This window comes from Homo sapiens, chromosome 2 (assembly GCF_000001405.40).
Source record: "Homo sapiens chromosome 2, GRCh38.p14 Primary Assembly".
Classification (NCBI taxonomy): domain Eukaryota; kingdom Metazoa; phylum Chordata; class Mammalia; order Primates; family Hominidae; genus Homo; species Homo sapiens.
This window is the reverse complement of record NC_000002.12, coordinates 169507147-169526634: the sequence shown is the minus strand read 5'-3', so window position 1 is coordinate 169526634 and position 19488 is coordinate 169507147. Positions and strand designations below refer to the sequence as shown.

Genomic DNA, 19488 nt, shown 5'->3' with positions numbered 1-19488 from the left:
AGGAGTCAACTTACTATATGCACTAAGAAGGAACAGTGAATGGAGGATATCACATCCCAGAAAATGAAATAATACAGTCACCTTCCTTGCTGTCAGAAATTTAGCAAATAGGTAGCCCTTTCATGGAGTGTAGCCAAAATTTAAACCAGTGAATACACTTCCTCCTCCACATCACCCACTGACCCCAACTGCTGTCCCAGCAGTTTAAAGAATCAATCCATTTCCTAAGGGTGCTCCCTCACCCTCCTGCCACAGATGCTGTAGTTAATGGCTTGAAGACTGTGATTTACTGGTTTTAAATTAAAATTTTAAAAATTTGATTTGGAAACCACAAATAATACGCCAGTGTCGCAAAAAGAATGGAGAGAAAAGGCCATTTGAATTTGACTACTTTTACTTACAAGAGACTTTTCCCCATCAAACGATTTCCCCATCCATTTATTACACTTCTGAAGTAGGATTTCTGAAGTCATCTTATGGCATGTAATTCTTAGTATAATGCACAGGATTCCTGTCATTTTGAAGCACGAGGAGAGGTTTTTGATATCTTAAACATTTTTTTAGTGTAGATGCACATATTCTCCACTTCCAATTGTAATAGAAAATCAGTTTAAGGATACCCTAATGATGCAAATGAAATGATTAGCAAACAACTCAAATTTAGGAGCCTTCTTTACAATCCATTGAGTGAAACAGATTCACAAAATAATTTGTTCAACTGAAGATTTAATTTATTATTAGAAAATGGTTTTAAACTCTGATCATTACATTGAAGAGTCAATGACTGAGGTTTTCTTACCTACTGCTCATCTCTTAGACAATAACTTCTTGAATAATTTCTACATGAGTGTCTGTACAAGCTTTTAAAAAACAGAATAAATTAAAGCCCCATTCACCAAACAAACCACCTCCCAATCTATTATGTTTTGTCACCTTGTTCACAGTTTAGACAGTTTGAAGAGATTTAAACGTGTTGCTAGGCAACTAGCTCCTGAAGCATAACGTATTTCCTTCAACATCCCAGCCCATTCTTTTTTATCATCTTCATACCTGATGGAGGAAAAAAAAAGTAATCAATAAGCAGCTTTAGTTCCATAGGTTTCCCTGTGTTCAGAATACAAATGTGGATCTTTGAAAAAACCCTAGTGGCTCTTACTCAGAAGAAGATGCACCTGCCTGGTAGAACAGAACTTAAATATCTCCCAAATATGCATTGTCTGGATGAGCATGTGCCTGAACTACTGCCACAGTATTTAATCTGGATGCCTAGGCAGTTCAGCATTCTCTGGGAATCAAAGACTGCAGAGAAGAGGAATAAATAGCTAAGCAGTTAAACATTCATTCACCTTTGAATTGATGAAGATGGCTGGTCTCTGAGTCAAAGTAAGCAGACTCTTGCTTAAGAGAAAGAACTGAGGAAGAGCAGGGACTATCGGTAGACTTAATTATGCCTTCAATTGTTCCTATACACTAGTGCCTAGCATGGCACCTGATACACAGCTGTCACTTTATGAAAATTTGTTCCCCTTCCCCTTTATTGTTCTGTTTGAGGACTACTCTTAGACTTTGCACTTGACTTAGGTAAGAACTGGTCTTCATCTCTGAATATTCAAGGTTATAAAGATACAGATAACTTGAATTCCCTTGTACGATGTGTGCTGAACATGTCTGCTCTGCCTGGTGCCTGGAATATTTTCTTTGTGTGGGAAGCTTCTAAATGCCGCCTTCTCTCTGAAACCTTTCTCACCTTCCTTAAGCACAGTTTGTTGCTTTCTCTTTCTCATATCATCCTTTATATGGTATTATAGCAATTATCACTCCATTTTAATTCCCCCCCCCATATCAATGTCCTCAAGCCTCAAAGGCATCTGAGGACAAATAATATATTAATATCTCTCCACAAATTGTCAAGACCTGGCACAAGACAACCCCAAATCAGCCAGGTGTGGTGGCTTACACCTGTGATCCCAGCACTTTGGGAGGCCGAGGGGGGCAGGTCACCTGAGATCAGGAGTTTGAGACCAGCCCGGCCAATATGGCAAAACCCCGTCTCTACTAAAAATATAAAAATTAGCCAGGCATGGTAGTGTGCGTCTGTAATCCTAGCTACTCCGGAGGCTGAGGCAAGAGAACTGCTTGAACCCGGGAGGCGGAGGTTGCAGTGAGTCAAGATTGCACAGCAAGACTCCATCTCAAAAAAAAAAAAAAAAAAAAAAGATTTACCCCAAATCATTCTGTGATGAATGGAGATTTAAAATAATTATTAAAATTAGCTTGTACCTACATAAGACATGCTCTGACTTAATTTCATCAATGTTCCAAATTAGTTCTCAATAATTGTACCATGCACTGATTTTTATGTAGAGGAAAGCATACAAAAAATATTTTGCTACTAATAAAGGGAATAACCTTAATTACATAAAATTCAGGGCAACAAATTAAGAGATAAATAATAGTTTTAAATGACCTAAAGAAAGTGACCACATTTAAACAATATGAGGTTAAGGTTAAATGAGGTTTAAAAATGTTTGCTTCCTGGCAGTTATATTTACTTTCAGCTTGGTCAATCCTAAATAATGGAATGATTTCAAGAAAAAAATACAAGAATGGAATTTTTTTTTTACGTATAGTAAGAGGGTCTATGTTGAGAATGTTGTATACTGAGAGTTTTCACCTCTGCATGTGTGGTTAGGGAGGTTCACTAGGAAATTGAGGGCAAATAGGCAGCCACGTTTCTCTAGATCGGCGGCCTTCAACTTTAACACACATCTAAGTCACCTGGAGGGTTTGTGCAAACACAGATCGCTGGCCCTATCACCCCCAGAGTTTCTAATTTAACAGATTTGAAGTGAGACCTGAGAATCTGCCTTTCTGATAAGTACCCAGGTGAGGCTGATGCTGCTTTGGGAACCACTGTAGTAGATTACAGGTTCTCAAACTTAATTGCCAATAGAACCAGCTGGAGATGTTAAAGATACTGATGCCTAGGTCCTACTCTCAGAGATTGAGTTAATTGGTATGAAGGGTGGCCTGGGCATCAGGATTTTTTAAAGCTCCCCAAGTGTTTCTAATATGCAGCAAAGTTTGAGAATCATGCTCCAGATCCTACCCCAAATTAGGAAATACCAGTCTCAAAATAGCCAAGCAGATAGTGATGAATGCCCCCCTCTTCTCTTTACCCAATCCAGTGGTTCCCAAACTTGTCTACACATATAGAAACATCCATGGATCTTTTAAAATTTCCAAAGCCCAGGCCATACTTCAGACCAATTAAATTGCAGTCAATATAAGTGGGATAGAGGTGTTAATATTTTTTGAAGCACCCTGGTGATTCGAACGTGCAGGCAACTTTGGGAACCACTGCTCTAATCGCAAAATAAACCACAATCAGAGAGGATCCCTCTTTTAGGTTCCCTAAACAATGTCAGGGCCACTTTTATAGCAGGAGATTCTGTACTTTCTTTTGCTGCCTGTAACTGTTCCCTGCAGGGGCAGCATGGCTTTTGATAACCCTTAGGAACCAGGAGGGCTTCAGGGAGGTCCCACTGATTGACAGCACAATTACTTAATATCAGTGTTTCTCAACCCTGGCTGCTGATTAGAATCATCTGGGGCTGGGCTCGGTGGCTGACGCCTGTAATCCCAGCACTGTGGGAGGCTGAGGTGGGTGGATCACCTGAGGTCAGGAGTTCAAGACCAGCCTGGCCAATATGGTGAAACCCCATCTCTACTAAAAATACAAAAATTAGCCGGGCATGGTGGTGCACACCTGTAGTCCCAGCTGCTCCAGAGCCTGAGGCAGGAGAATCGCTTGAACCCAGGAGCTGGAGGTTGCAATGAGCCAAGATCACATCACTGCACTACAGCCTGGGTGACAGAGTGAGACTCTGTCTCACCAAAAAAAAAAAAAAAAAAAAAAAAAAAAAAAATCACTGGGAAGGTTTTAGGAACTAGGGATGCTCAACTCTACCTCCAGAAATTTTGATATAATTGGTCTGTGTTAAGGCCCAGACACTGGTATATTTTAAAAGCATCCCAGATGATTGTAACATACAGCTAGGGTTGAGAATCACTGCCCATTTATATATTTGGTACCTGGCCCTGTTTTCCAAAAAACCCTAACCTTCCCGGCCTTCATTAGTTCATCCTTTTTTCCTACTGCTTCCAGCTTTTCCCCATCTCACTGTTTTGCTAATTCTAGCCTCTTTGCTCCGTGGAAATCTCATTTTTTTTCTCTTTCTCCCTCTTTTTTGGGGGGAGGAGGGAAAGTAGTTAATTTCCTTGCATAGCCACTTTTTTTCTTGCCCTCTACACAGCTAGTTAATATTACAACATGGGGAAATGATGTCTAATGCACAAATCATTGTTTGGTTAAGGTACCAGCTTTTCAGCCTTTTTAGTTCAGCATCTGGGAATAAAGCATCTGCTGGTTAAGGTATAGAACAAATAATACCCACTTTTCACTCTCAGGCTTAGTGGTATGCCTTCACTGATTAAGTATAAATGGCACTCTTCCAAAGCTGTACTTATAAACTTAAATGTGCAAACAATTCACCTAAGAATCTTGTTAAAAAATACAGATTCTCATTCAGTAGGGTCTGGGATTCTGTGTTTCTTTTTTCTTTTTTTTTTTTTCTTTTAAGACTCGCTCTGTAGCTGAGGCTGGAGTGCAGTGGCGCGATCTCAGTTCAAAATAAAATAAAAACAAACTTTTTTTTTAATAGCCTCACTAAAATGTTCAATTGAGTAACAGTTTCAAGTGTCATACTTAGGAGAACTGCCTGGCACCTCCAGGCAGGTAAAATGGATTGCTATTTTGACTTTTTTCATTTTAAAAAAGCATTTATTAGCTGAAGCCTAAAACAATTGGAAAGCTGTTTAAATTAGATTGAAAACAGAACTAATGAAGTAGTGGAAAGCTCAAGAGGTTAAATGTTTCTTTAGGCTGGGTACGTGGCTCACGCCTGTAATCCTAGCACTTTGGGAGATTGAGGCGGGTGGATCACCTGAGGTCAGGAGTTCGAGACCAGCCTGGCCAACATGGCGAAATGCCGTCTCTACTAAAAATATAAAAATTAGCTGGGCGTGGTGGATATGCCTGTAATCCCAGCTACTCGGGAGGCTGAGGCAGGAGAATCACTTGAACCTGGGAGGCCGAGGTTGCAGTGAGCTGAGATCCCGCCATTGTACTCCAGCCTGGGTGACAGAAACTCTGTCTCAAAAAAATAAAAATAAAAAAGTAAAAAACATAAAATTTTTTTTAGAACTCTGTTTTGTTAGGAAATAAACTACTCTGGAGCAAAGAGGCTTTCACTCTACTGGATGCCTATAGCATTATACTCTTAGAGCTGGAATGAAACTGAGAGTATCAAAGGTCCAACTCTCATTTTACAGTAAGAAACAGGCCTGCCCAGATGATTTCTTTCTCAGGCTCAGAGCTAACTAGAAGTAGATACTTGTTCAAGTAAGTGGCATGTACAGAAGTTCAATTAGGTTTGAAGTGTTTAGTCTACTACCAAGAAGTAGCTTGCATGTTGGGAAAATCTGGCTTATTGTTTACTACAAAATAGTTTATCAGTCATCTGATTTAATATGTGATTCTGAAAATTGAAGTGATGAGAACTTACTTCCATATGTCATTGACTTCAGTGGGTGCAAATTCTTTAGACTCCAGTTGAATCATAGCAAAACCACCAATTGCATACAGAGATCCAGCCAGGCTGACCAAACTGATGGAGCTTCTTTCTTGGGGAAATTCGGTCATTACATCCCATCTAGGTATCATTAAAAATATAGTCAATGTAAAACTTAAAGAAATGCCAGATGTACTTACTGAATAATTATAGGAAATAATAATTTAAAAATTCAAGTAGTGGCCAGGCAGCCAGGCGCGGTGGCTCATGCCGGTAATCCCAGCACTTTGGGAGGCTGAGACGGGTAGATCACCTGAGGTCAGGAGTTTGAGACCAGCCTGACCAACATGGTGAAACCCCACCTCTACCAAAAATACAAAAAATTAGCCAGGCACGGTGGCGCGCACTTGTAATTTCAGCTATTTGGGAGGCTGTGGCAGGAGAATCACTTGAACCTGGGAGGCGGAGGTTGCAGTGAGCTGAGATTGTGCAACTGTACTCCAGCCTGGGCAACAGAGCGAGACTCCATCTAAATAAAAAATAAATATTCAAGTAGCGGCTGGGTTCGGTGGCTCATGCCCGTAATCCCAGCACTTTGGGAGACTGAGGCAGGAGGATTGCTTGAGCCCAAGGAGTATGCGACCAGCCTGGGCAACAAAATGGACTGCCTCCACACACACACACACACATACACACACACACACACACACACACACACACACACACTGAGGCAGGAGGATAGCTTGAGCCCAAGGAGTATGAGACCAGCCTGGGCAACAAAATGGACTGTCTACACACACACACACACACACACACACACACACACACACACACACACACACACACACAGAGCTAGGCCTGGTGGTATGTCCCTATAGTCCCAGCTACTTGGGAGGATCTCTTGAGCCCTTGAGGTCAAGGCTGCGGTGAGCTATGATCGCATTGCTGCATTCCAGCCTGGGTGATAGAGCAAAACCCTGTCTTTAAGGGGGGAAAAAAAAATTCAAGGAGCACAGGCATCTAAAAGTAAATGACTAAGTTTGCTACTAGAAAATATTTGAAAGATGTAACTTCATTAAATATAAAGCCTTCAATATGGCAACCCTAAGGCCGGGCACGGTGGCTCATGCCTGTAATCCTAGCACTTTGGCAGGCCTAGGTGGGTGGATCACCTGAGGTAAGGAGTTCGAGACCAGCCTGACCAACATGGTGAAACCCCATCTCTACTAAAAATACAAAAAATTAGCCGATTTTTTTCTAATTATAAAAATAATATATGTACATTATAGAAAATCTGTACTCCAGCCTGTGTGACACAGTGAGACCCTGTCTCAAAAAAAAAAAAAAAAAGTTTGAGAAAATCTGGAAAGTACAGAAAGGTATACAAGAGAGCAGATATCTCCATAATCATACCTTACAGACATAATCACAAGCAACAATTTGGTGTAATTTTGTCATCTTTTTAAAAAGCATGTACATTTAAGCTTCCATACATATAAATGAAACTAAGAAGATATTTACAATTTTTGTGTGTTGCTTCTTAACTTACATCATGAGTGTTTACCCACATTACAGTCTTCGAAAACATTATTTTTAATGATAATTTAAATAGTGTTCCACAAAAGTTCCTTGTAATTTTCAGATACTAAAGTCTGTTTTGTAGTCAGGCATACATGTTTCTAAAAAAAGTAATAATATTTCTCTTTTTTCTTCATTGCTAAACTAGGAATATAAAAGGTACATACTCATCCAGATGTGTGAGCTCAAAAATTTTAAAAAGACCAATTTTATATGAAGAATAGCTGTCAAATATCTTTTCACATTAAGTCAATAAAAGCTTAAAAATGAAATTTTTAATAAAATTATAAACAGCGTAAAGGAATGAAAACTTGGGAAGCATTCATACTTTACAGATATCAATCATTAACAAGTTAAGTGAAGATCTTTTCATAAAGAAACTACATTTAAAATCAAATGATTCCACAGAGACATGTATATCCATCTACACAGACAATTATTCAGGGCCAGGTGTGCTGGCTCACACCTATAATCCTAGCACTTTGGGAGGCCACCGTGAGAGGATCATTTGAGGCCAGGAGTTAGAGACCAGTATGGACAACATAGTGAGACCCTGTCTGTACCAAAAACAAAAACAAAAACAAAAATTAGCTGGGCATAGTGGTAGTCCTAGCTACTCAGGAGCCTGAGGTGAGAGGATCACCTGAGCCCAGGAGTTTGAGGCAGCAGTGAGCTATGATTGTGCCACTGCACTCCAGCCTGGGTGACAGAGCCAGACCTTGTCTCTTAAAAATAATCATAATTATTCACAAGTATTACCTTTGCATTTCTAAATTCACAAAGTTAATAACAAGGACAAATAGAGCATGACAACACTGACTTAAGGGTCATGTGTTCCAGATTACAGACATATAATGCATCAGAATGTTAGACAAGATTTACATCCAGTAACAACAAAAGAAACCCAGATGAAAATACTTCCTTTGTAATCTGTGGCTCTGTACCCTCCCCTCCCCACATCCTAATTAGAAAGATAACTTTTTATCCAAAGTTAACAATTAAAATGTATAGTTGTTCACATGCTATATACTAAGATGTGGCAACTCACTTATTTGTTGTAAGGTCAAAAGCTTCAACTGAAGCTGAAAGACCATCTTCAGTGACACCTCCTGCAATCACAATTTTGCCTTTATGGACTGCTACTCCAAACATGGAACGAGGAATTTTCATTGGAGCCAGATCTTTCCAATCTCCTTTTTTGGGGTTGAAGATAAACACCCTGTTTGTACATTTTCTGTAAACAGAAAAACAAATGTTCCTTTTAGAACCTTTTTTTGACAGCACCTTCACTAATAATTTGGCTTTGCTTGTCATGAAAAATATATAGTAGGATCAGAAAACTCCAAAGAATTCTTAATTTGAACATATGCCACTAAACAAAGGACAAGCCCAAATGTGGGGACCAAAACTATAACTTAATTTTACTGTTGGAAGATAGGGTACCTTTACTTCTGGATAGCTGCTTAGAACCCCAGGCACAGCTGATTTTAATCGTATCTACTAAATTCAATTGAAGTTTTTTTACTCTATTTGAGTAAAAAATAAAATCATAAACCTTTTATTGCACCTCAATAACAAATGGTAAGTTTATTTATTATCTGAATATCCTAGGAACGAATCAGTTAACTTAAAGAATAATTAGGTGCAAATATACCTACTTTAAATTTTATATGATAGATCATTTTATTTTATATTAGCACTAACATACCAGTGCATTTTAAGAAATCTGGGACTATGGATTAGACAACAAATCATCTGAGCTGATGAATCATGACAACAGTTTTACATGCTAAATGCTACCAGAAAGACCTGGACTCATCTGAATTATTATTCACTCTGCCACCCAGGCTGGAGTGCAGTGGTGCGATCTTGGCTCACCGCAACCTCCGCATCCAGGGCTCAAGTGATCCTCCCATCTCAACTTCCCAGGTAGCTGGGAACACAGGCATGTGCCATCACACCCAGCTAGTTTTTTGTATGCTTGGTAGAGACAGGGTTTCGCCATGTTGGCCAGGCTGGTCTCGAATTCCTGAGCTCAAGTGATCCTCCAGCCTCAGCCTCCCAAAGTGCTGGGATTACAGGTGTGAGCCACCATGCCCCGCCCTTAGTATGTTTTTTATGGTTCCTTGAAGTTATCTATAATTTGATGGGAGTTCAGAATTTCAAATAATAATTGATTAACTGGATATATTTGGTGATGAAAAACACCTTAACTTTTTTGTGAGGACAATTTTTTTCTTAATTGTGTAAAAGACCAGTTATCTGGAGTAGAAGCATTTCCTCTAATATTTGACTATTGGTATCATTTGAACACTTCTTGATAAGAACATTATCCAAAATCACGTTCTTCAAATTCATTAGTGGGAACTGGTGCAATTCAGCACTTACTTTTATTTATTTATTTATTTCTGGAGACGGAGTTTCGCTCTTGTTGCCCAGGCTGGAGTGCAGTGGCGCGATATCAGCTCACTGTCTCCCGGGTTCAAGTGATTCTCCTGCCTCAGCCTCCCTAGTAGCTGGGATTACAGGCAAACGGCACCACGCCCGGTTAATTTTGTATTTTTAGTAGAGACGGGGTTTCTCCACGTTGGACAGGCTGGTCTCAAATTCCCGACCTCAGGTGATCCACCTGCCTCGGTCTCCCAAAGTGCTGGGATTACAGGCATGAGCCACTGCACCCAGCCCAGCACTTACTTTTAGATAATGACTCATTTCAAAGTTCTTGACTTTGACATTTGTCAAGCAGTGTTGTGTTAGTTAATCATATTCTCAAGATTGATATATTCCTACTGACAAGAACTGTATGCTTCTTACTGACATATCAATTTCCTAGTTACTAATGCTGCTTGAAGGAAACAATTTAAATCATTTGGCAGGGTTCCTGTGTTTCCAAAGTCAGAATGCTCTTTAGTAGTGATTTTCCATTCAGTTTACTCAGGAAAAATGCCCAAAATAAGATCTGGCACCAGGTAAGCATATAATATACCTTCCTTTAAATTTGATAGGAATAGCTGGGATTAGGGAGGATATAAAAATTTTAGAATATGTTATCTTTGAATACAGGTAGATGTTTAAAAACCATTGCTTTTTAAAATCGCCTTTTCTGTGCTATATTTACCATTTAAATTGACTAATACCCAATAATCATTAACTCCAGAATAGAGTTCTTGACATCTAACACATTTCTATATTTTACTCTCCTTTCCTGCTTTGCCCTTACAATTCTAAATTTTGGCTCCCTTTTCAGGGTTGGACATCACTATTAATTCAATGGCCTGGGCAAATGATGACAAGCCAAATCAGGCAGATTTTTCAGGGGCAGAATATTAGTTCTCACCATCTAAACTGAAAATGCTTATTTTACTAGACAGGTTATACTGGTTTGACTGTCTCTGAAGCATTCGGAGCTCACTTCTCCTCTCTCTGGGTTATAACATCTCTTTCCTGATTACAGGTTCCTTAAGAATTGACTGGAAATCAAGTTAGGTTTATATATGAAACCTCATCCTGGTTTTCTCACAAGATACTGGGTGCTACTGGGAGCTCAGTTTTGAACAGTTGGAAGCCATTTTGAATATTACCTCTGTCAGGGAGTAAATATGTGGAAGAACACTGCTGAGGAAATAATTGCCTTAATTTTTTGTTTTTATTTTGTCTTTTTTACTTCCCTCTTTTCAATCACCACGCTTTTCTTTCAAACTGACCTATCTAAAGTCCCTCTTATGAATGTAAAGTACAAATCCATGATATTTTTTATGCACAGTTGTCTTAGAAGATATATTTTAAATACTACATTAAAGATACCTTTCAATTTTTATCTACTTATGGCTAAATGAATAAGAAAACCCATTGGTTTTAATGTAGTAAAATACAATTATAAATCAGTGAAATACAGGACTTGATTATGCTCCTAGATACTGCCTGGACTGTAAGGATGCTTATGATTGGGGTATTAGGCTCATTCCTAGCAGTATGCTGAGTATCTACATGTTTACTTCAGCGACTTGAAATTTTAAGATTTTCCCTCCACAATATGATAGGTGAGAACCATGTCCCATTTTAGTGTGCAGATCCAAAGGAAAAGAGGAAGAGACCGGGCGTGGTGGCTCACACCTATAATCCTAGCACTTTGGGAGGCTGAAGCGGGCAGATCACCTGAGGTCGGGAGTTCAAGACCAGCCTGACCAACATGGAGAAACCCTGTCTCTACTAAAAATACAAAATTAGCCAGGCGTGGTGGAGCATGCCTGTAATCCCAGCTACTCAGGAGGCTGAGACAGGAGAATCGCTTGAACCCAGGAGGCGGCGGTTGCAGTGAGCCGAGATCACACCACTGCACTCCAGCCTGGGCAACAAGAGTGAAGCTCCATCTCAAAAAAAAAAAAAAAGAAAAGAAAAGAGGAAGAAACCCTTCTAATAAAAAGTCATTTAGACATAAATCATGAGAGTTCAGGGTACTTACTTGTCATCTGTCTTTCCTCCTAGACAATATATCATCCCTTTATGTGAAATCACATTATGGCCATAGACTTTGATAGGGAGTTTTTTTACTTCGTTCCATTTTGCAGCCCTAAAATTAAACGAGACAGAATTTATATACCTTCAGTAAATTCCAGGTTCTGAAAATATGAATATGTTGTAGGCACGCATATACTTGAATGCTTAGGGAACAGGAATATCATGCCAACTTACACAGGATCATAGCATAATACTGAATCCAGCGAAGCCTCTGTTTGAAGGTCTTTGCCTGCAACTACATAGATTTTATCATCCACCTCTCCCAGACCGAAGAGACACCTGGCTGAAGGCAGAGGTGGAAGTCCAACCCATTCAGATGCTATGCTATCGAGCTGAAAAAAACATATATGAGAGATTGTGGAGCCTGTTAGAAAAAAATTAGAAGTACACCAAAAAAAGTTATACTTTATATGTTGTTTAGAAGTCATCGAGATAGTCAAATATCTCACAAGTAAATAAAACTACAACCCCAAAGTATCACATTGTAGCTCATAATTACCAAGAAGAATGAGTAAATCTACTTGGCCTACCAGATAAAGATATCAAAATCTTCAAGGCTTCAAGAAAAGAAAAAATAAAATAGAATCACCAGAGGTTAATTACAACTGTGAGGTTTCTTGTCAAATTTTCTCCCATATTGCCTTGTTCAGCTTTGAAACAGGAGATCCTCATACTTTTAGGACACTGGGGAAAGAAAGGTTGTCATAACAAGGAGGGTCACAGAATGTGAATGACCCCTGCGTGCTATATTTAACATGCTCCCCATGCCGGCAGCTGGGACAGCTGGACCTGTCACTCAGTCCACAAACAACTGGGATGTTGGGCAATATCTTTTTTTCTTTCTTTAAAAACATTTTAGGTTCTCTGTGTTTTGCTTTATTATTCCTGATACAGGCAGGCGTTAAAGTGAATTTCCTAGTGTGTTGTTGGGAGTCCCTTGAAATACTCTTCTCTTTTTTAAAAAATTTATATTAATAAGTAACTGCTCATTTTTGGTCACCACCACTTCTGCAAGCTTAAGATTTTCCCAAGGAGGAAAATCTCCTTGTGCCCATGCCCTGGGGTAGATGATGGTGGCATCTGTTTCATCACTTACTTTTGGTAATTTAAATATTTTACACTTTTCATTTTAGCACACTAAGGCACAAGAAAACTGTTTTCTGCAAGAGTACAGTTGCAGATTTGTTGTTCTCTCTGGTACCACTTCTAGATTGCAAAAATAAAATGAATAAAACCCAGTTTCACTGGATACTAAGAATAGATGTGCATACAAATGGCTGTGGTATAGACAGGGGTGTCTGTGGAAGCCTATCTATATGTGGTCTAGTAACCTCAGTTAAACAAAGCGCTAATTAAGACTAGATGACATGAGAAGTTTAATCTCCACATGTGCATTCTTAGCTTTGCATTCACTAATTTCAACAGCTAGATTTTGATCCCTTATGTTTTCACTTTTGAAAGAAATTCTTTGATCATGAAGGTGGTATGTAATATAGTAGAAATAATAATGAACATTTATGGGGTTTTGACTGTTGTCATAGTCTTTGAACTAAATGCTTTACACAGGTAACCTCATTTAGTTCTCCAGGATAGGCATTTCTATCATCCCCATTTTACAGATGAGGAAACCGAGGCACAGGAAGATTAAATAATTTTCCCAAATACACAGAACTTTTAGGTGATATTCAAATCCAAGCCATGTACATTCACAGTTGGTTTTAAAAAATGGAAACAGCAGCCATCATAATCCCATACCTGTGGGCTTAACTCTCATACTGTACAGTACTGCCTACCTTCCCATATTACCTGTTAGAGGGCACTTTCTCTAGCAGATGGAACAGTAGACTACCTACCAGTCTCTTTTATAGAGGAACTATCAAGCTATTTAACTTCTCTGAGTTCAACTTTCCTCATTGTTAAAATTAGGGTTTGGACCTAGATTACTTTAAGACCTGTTCAAAGATTTGATGAATCTATTAATTCAAATTAATGAGTGGGGGAAAAAATCCTCCCTTACCAAGGTAAAAAATTCTCATAATCTATTTACAGCATACAATCAAAGGTCAAATTACTCCTAAATTAATGCATTTTAAATAGATGTGACCAAGCAGAAAAATATAAAACCTGAAATTCTCATGTAAATATTGTCTGATGAGTCACAACCCTCTTTTATGGTGAAGTGTTTTTATCCTGGCATACCGTTCTATTAGTGCCTTTTAAAAGCAGCAAGGCATTTGCTTTGCTGACCTTCCAACTTTGTATAACTGTTATTGTTAATGTTCTGTTATACAGAACATTAAGTAGGTTTCTTGAACCAAAAATGAGAAGCTGCGTCAGTAAAAGTAAGGGTTTTATTAGGCTGGAAGAGGACAAAGATTAAACTGAACACTTGAAAGTAAAAAGGACCGTGTTATAGATATATTCAATAAATTAAATATGAAATGAAATTTAAAACTCCAGTAATTTTGGAGAATCATTCCATGGCAACAACTATTCCGTGGATCTGTCATTTGTAGGTATCTACCTATATGTCTGTCATCTGTCTATCTGTGTTTTTATAACATTCTTACTTCCTGGATGTATTTATAGCCTTTTTCATTGACTTTGCCACTTTTGACGTTTATTTGACTTTAAAATTAGGGCTTGGGAAATTTTCTGACCCACATTCAAATACTTATAACATTCTTCACTGGAACTTTGAAAATTAAGAAACATGATTAATATGTATTATCACAACTACATTTTTCAAGATTAGAAAAAGTTGATTAAAGGTATAATAGTATTTTGTGAATGCAAAGTATATCACACACTTTGAGAGCATACTGTGACTGTGGTATGACATTGTATACTTGCTTATCTTTGGCCTTTCCAACTAAAGTGCCCATAAGCCCCAGCCATGATTAGCTATGACCTAAACAAACTCTTTTGAGCCAGTTGTAAGCTATAAAGTTTCGGTATTGGCATTATGGAAGACAAAGGTTAAGCCAACTCCTTCATAAACTGATAAAGTATAACACATTGATAATATAAGACAAATTCCTTTCAAACAACTAAGGGTATATTGGTTTAGGAGAATTAATTTTCTTGGAAAATTCTGTGGTTTCACAAAACAGATTGTTAAGTTCTAATAATGTCTAAATGTATCTCTGATCCAAATAAATGTGATATAATAAAAATTTCTAACTATAATTAATTCAAATTAGCGACTTTTGTGTAGACAGTTTTTCCTAGAAGATAATCCAAAGTGTGTGGAATATATATACAAGTTTTTTTCATTTTCAACAAAATTATATTTTAGGCAGTAACCATAAATAAGAGATGAAGTGCTACCTCCAAGAACTTCAAATGAAGTTCAGGGAAACTTGGAAGAAGGTAGAAAATCTGACCAATTTAGAGCTGCCAGCAGATGAAGAAGAAAAAGAAATTAAAAAAGAAAATCTGACCAATTATTACTTCTTTATAATGGATAAGAACTTTGATTTAGGGAAACTATTTGGGGAAAGACATTAACTATTTTTAATAGGTAAGAGTATACAAGATTAAATTTAGTTTTTACAGCAGGGGGTGGTGGCTCACACCGGTAATCCCAGCACTTTGGGAAGCCAAACTGGGAGTATTGCTTGAGCCCAGGAGTTCGAGACCAGCCGGGGCAACATAGTGAGAGCCCATCTCTGCTAAGAAAAAATAAATTTAGTTTTTACTAAAATACTGGGCTTTGAGGGATTACAGTCACGATCATCTATAAACAAGGCATTTTTGGTAAAATAGTATAAAGAACATCTTAAGTCATTAAACATGAATTAGAACCTCATTATTCACCAAACTTTTTATTACACATTAACAAAGCAGTCAAATATTTTTCTGTCAACGCTCTATACAGCAAAAGTGCAAGGGACTGGAATAGGACATCAATTAGAGTAAAATGCAAGCAGCTTGAATAATTCACAAATTGGCTAACTGGATGGTGAGTAACAGCCTTCCCTTTAAGCAACTACATATACAAAAAGTCCTTCTTACCTGGAAGAAGTATGACTGTAGAGGTTGATCCTTATTTTCTTCATCCACATATAGTCCTCCTACCACATATATCTGATTTTGCTGGGTAACAATGCTGGAATGATTTCTGGGAATCTGCTCAGCCAGTGCAGTAAGGTAGCATTCATTTTCCGTGGGGTCATAAGCCACTGCTGCTGTGTCATTAACCAAGAGGATGAGGTCTTTTACAAACATTCCATGCCTGGGAATGTCATTCAGGTAACCAGGAAGTAAATCTTCATCACCAACATCACCATTCACCTCACCAGCCCCAGTCTTCGCGGCATTTTTGCTAGGTTCTGGGAGTTTGCCTGCGAAAGCATCTTTTAGAACTTTGATTTTTTTCTGGAGGTCTGGGTTGCTTTTAATTATATCATCTTTCTCAACATGATCCTTAAAATATTTTTCTGTCATAAGGCGAAAACGGATACAATCAAACACTTCACTAAGGTTTTTAACCCTGTTTTCCTTGTCTGTTCGCACCCATTTCATCACTGCCTCAAATACTGCTTCTTCTTTTTCTACATTTAGGCTGTCATTTGAAATGACTGAGATCAGTTCCTGTGGAGACAGTTGCATAAAGTCCTCTTCCTTACAAATCTGTACAAAGCGATCAGACACAAATTCACGGGCAGAAATGGCGAGTCTCGGGCAGTCAAGAAGAAGTCCTAATCTTAGGATGGCTAGACAGTTACCAGGAGCAAGTCTTTTCTGAAGATAAGAAACGCAGACAGTAAACACTGAGGGGATCTGAAAGCGGCTGGCCAATGCAAAAATATCTTGCACATTTCCGTCATTGAGATCAATACTGGCAGAGTACAGGTATTTGATGATTAAATCAAGTATAGCAGGATCCACATTGTCTAGCACTACCTCCTTTTTTTTCGCCTCATCAATTTCAGATAAAAAGTACTCACGGAAGTAAGGACTACAAGCTGACAAAATCAATCTGTGGCAAGGAAGACTTTTGTCACCTGCTTTTAGGGTGCAATCGATGAATTTTTTCTCATCCAGGAGATCTTTTAGACCATCCTGAAGAAGGGTGGATTGGTAAAGCCGCAGTTCCTCTGCAAGTTCCCGCTGGGAATCCATTCTGTGAGAAACCTGGGTAAGGAAGGGGACACTGAAGGCCTTAGCTCCTTGCAGCACACAGGTCTAGCTGTAAAAAGGCAGATCAGTGTGCTTTGCCCAGCTTGAAGCCTTTGCAATTTAATCCCACTAGCTAAATATAGATACCAACTCTAACAACGGGAATTTAGGAGAGCTGGCTTGGAAAGAAGAGTTGTTCTTGCAGCTGTTATAGATTGAAAGTAACAACTGGAACTTTTAATCACTAGGGAAACAGCTAAGAAACAAGACATTTAAGTGAAGTTGAAAGCTTAAAAATACATAACACATTAGAAGATATACTAATAAAGGCTACTACAAGAAAATGTTTATTGAATTAACAGAAAAATGAATCATAAAAATGAGTCACTCCTCTAAATATGTTCTAGTGTCAAGCTACTTGGCTCTCTGAATTAATGATGCAAAGGTCAAGAATATGAGATGTGTTCATTTGAATACTCATAAGCAAGATCTCATTTCCAATAATTGTTAACATACAAATTTTTACTTTCTACTCAGAACAGTGGGATATAGATATTTCTTTTAGAAGTAGTAAACTTAAAGATGTTTACTTCTGTACTAGTTTTACAAAACCTTTAATGTTGCCATGATAATTGAAAAAAGAAATGCAGAGGAATTGCTAATTTTCTAAAACATTCCAAATTATTCTTACATGGAAAAACTGTAATTAATATTGAATTAAATTATAAAATTATTTATTCATATCCTGCCTTGTCATACAAATGATCTAATGTGGCAAACGATAATAAGGTAAAATAAAAGCAAAAGGTTAAAAGGAATCACAGAGCCAGAAAAAATAATTAAAAGTCAATCTAGGGAACGAAAAAGTCCACACACATTCAAATAAGATCACAAAAGATAATCTGTAATTTTAAATATCAAAAATTATCATTCATTAAATAAAACGTGAAAAATAGAACAGATATAACCCCATGAGAACAATGTTATCACTAAACACAGCAAAATCAAGATGAACTCCTACAATGGTCATAGAGAACAGCCCCCCCTTTTTTTAAAGAGTATATAACTGGGGACATAACGTAGGCTGTTGATTATAATAGAATACCATATTAATTATGGAGGTAGAAGTAATGATTTGAAAGAAAATCGGTCCTTTGTTTATATATAGATGGTATAATATACTTCATTAAATACTTTCATTTATTTATTTATTTTTGAGACAGAGTCTCGCTCTGTCACCCAGGCTGGAGTACAATGGCGCAGTCTCGGCTCACTGCAACTTCTGCCTCCCGGGTTCAAGCAATTCTCTTGCCTCAGCCTCCCGAGTAGCTGGGATTACAGGCACCCGCCACCATGCCTGGCTAATTTTTGTATTTTTAGTAGAGACAGGGTTTCATCATGTTGGCCAGGCTGGTCTCGAACTGCTGACCTCGCGATCCGCCTGCCTCGGCCTCCCAAATTGCTGGGATTACACGTGTGAGCCACCGCACTGGGCCCATTAAATACTTTATTACACAGTCATATTGTCACATTATCTGAACTCAAGTAGGGCTGTAGAAATACTGTAATTTCAAAAGTTGGTATTTTTACACATACCCCCAAAAACAAATTCCATGAAGACAGGGATTGTGGGAGTGTCTGTTCTTTTCAAATGCTATAGCGTAGGGGTTTCGTGAGTGCTTTATAAGTATTTGTTGAATGAATGAATGCCCCAGATCAAGGAATTATGTATTTTTAAACTTCAAGGTCTCTATCCATGAGTAAAGGCCTTTTCTTTTATTTTACATCACAGTGAAGTCAATGGTACTGTCAGCTGCTAAAACAACAGCTGAAAGAAGAGCTCATTGACTCTTTTTCCATTTATAGATGCCACTAAAGGTTTTAACACACCAGAAAAAACTAACAGCTGCTTCCTTGTTTAAACAATAAATGACTCATTTCTCTCTACATGTAACATCTAACATTTGAAAAGATTAATGAGTCAGATGCAAACATCATATGACATTTGAGATTATTCCTTACTAGTCAGCAATTTTATAGTCTCTTTTGCTTGAAAAAAACAATATTTAAACAATAGTTATGGCAGCATTTTATCTGTGACCAGTACAAATTTTTCATACATTCTTTCCCCTCGTCTTAAAGGTGGTTTATTATAATTCCAACCCTTAAAATGTAGAAATCCTTTTCCATTTAAATGAAGAAGCCAATTTGTAGCTTTTGTTGATTTTTAATAAACTTAGGTTAGCACTTGGTTGTACTGTATGTCTATGGTTGTACACAGACTTGCATCTTATTTTAAATGTTTTTACATACTTTTCCCTCTGGAAGAAGAGGGCTCCTTTGGCTAATTTCAATTATTTGAAAAAGATTCCTTACAATGTGTTTTACACGGAAACAGTGGTCAAAAACACCGAATGATCCTAGAGAGGTCAACAAGTCTTACCTAACCAAGAAATGAGAAAAATAATATCCTATTTTTGAAAATTCAAAGAAGTTTCAATAAATACAAAGAGAAAGTTAATAAACAAAGCTATTTTCTTACAAAGTAAATGTATTCTTGCCAAAACTACATTGAAATTCTTACAAAATAGCATCCAAAGCACTTTAAAGGGGGGGGTTGATGTATTCCAGAGTT

General features: G+C 37.9%; 1 protein-coding gene across 1 annotated transcript; it reads right to left on the bottom strand.

Moving 5' to 3' along the window:
• Positions 377-16933, bottom strand: KLHL41 (kelch like family member 41). The gene is made up of 6 exons (NM_006063.3): positions 15747-16933; positions 11904-12061; positions 11674-11781; positions 8260-8445; positions 5628-5774; positions 377-1050 (listed from the first exon to the last, which is right to left on the bottom strand). The coding sequence occupies exons 1-6, from the start codon at positions 16854-16856 to the stop codon at positions 939-941; spliced, it is 1821 nt and encodes a 606-aa protein (NP_006054.2). The 5' UTR covers positions 16857-16933; the 3' UTR covers positions 377-938.

What these genes read in the sequence shown, in the direction of transcription:
- KLHL41 (NM_006063.3), bottom strand. Translation starts at nt 16,856, where the DNA reads ATGGATTCCCAGCGGGAACTTGCAGAGGAACTGCGGCTTTACCAATCC. An exon ending in GGAGGAAAGACAGATGACAA is followed by an intron (nt 8,446 to 11,673) that starts GTAAGTACCCTG and finishes TTCTGTTTACAG; the next exon opens with AAAATGTACAAACAGGGTGT. An exon ending in TTTGACCTTACAACAAATAA is followed by an intron (nt 5,775 to 8,259) that starts GTGAGTTGCCAC and finishes AATGATACCTAG; the next exon opens with ATGGGATGTAATGACCGAAT.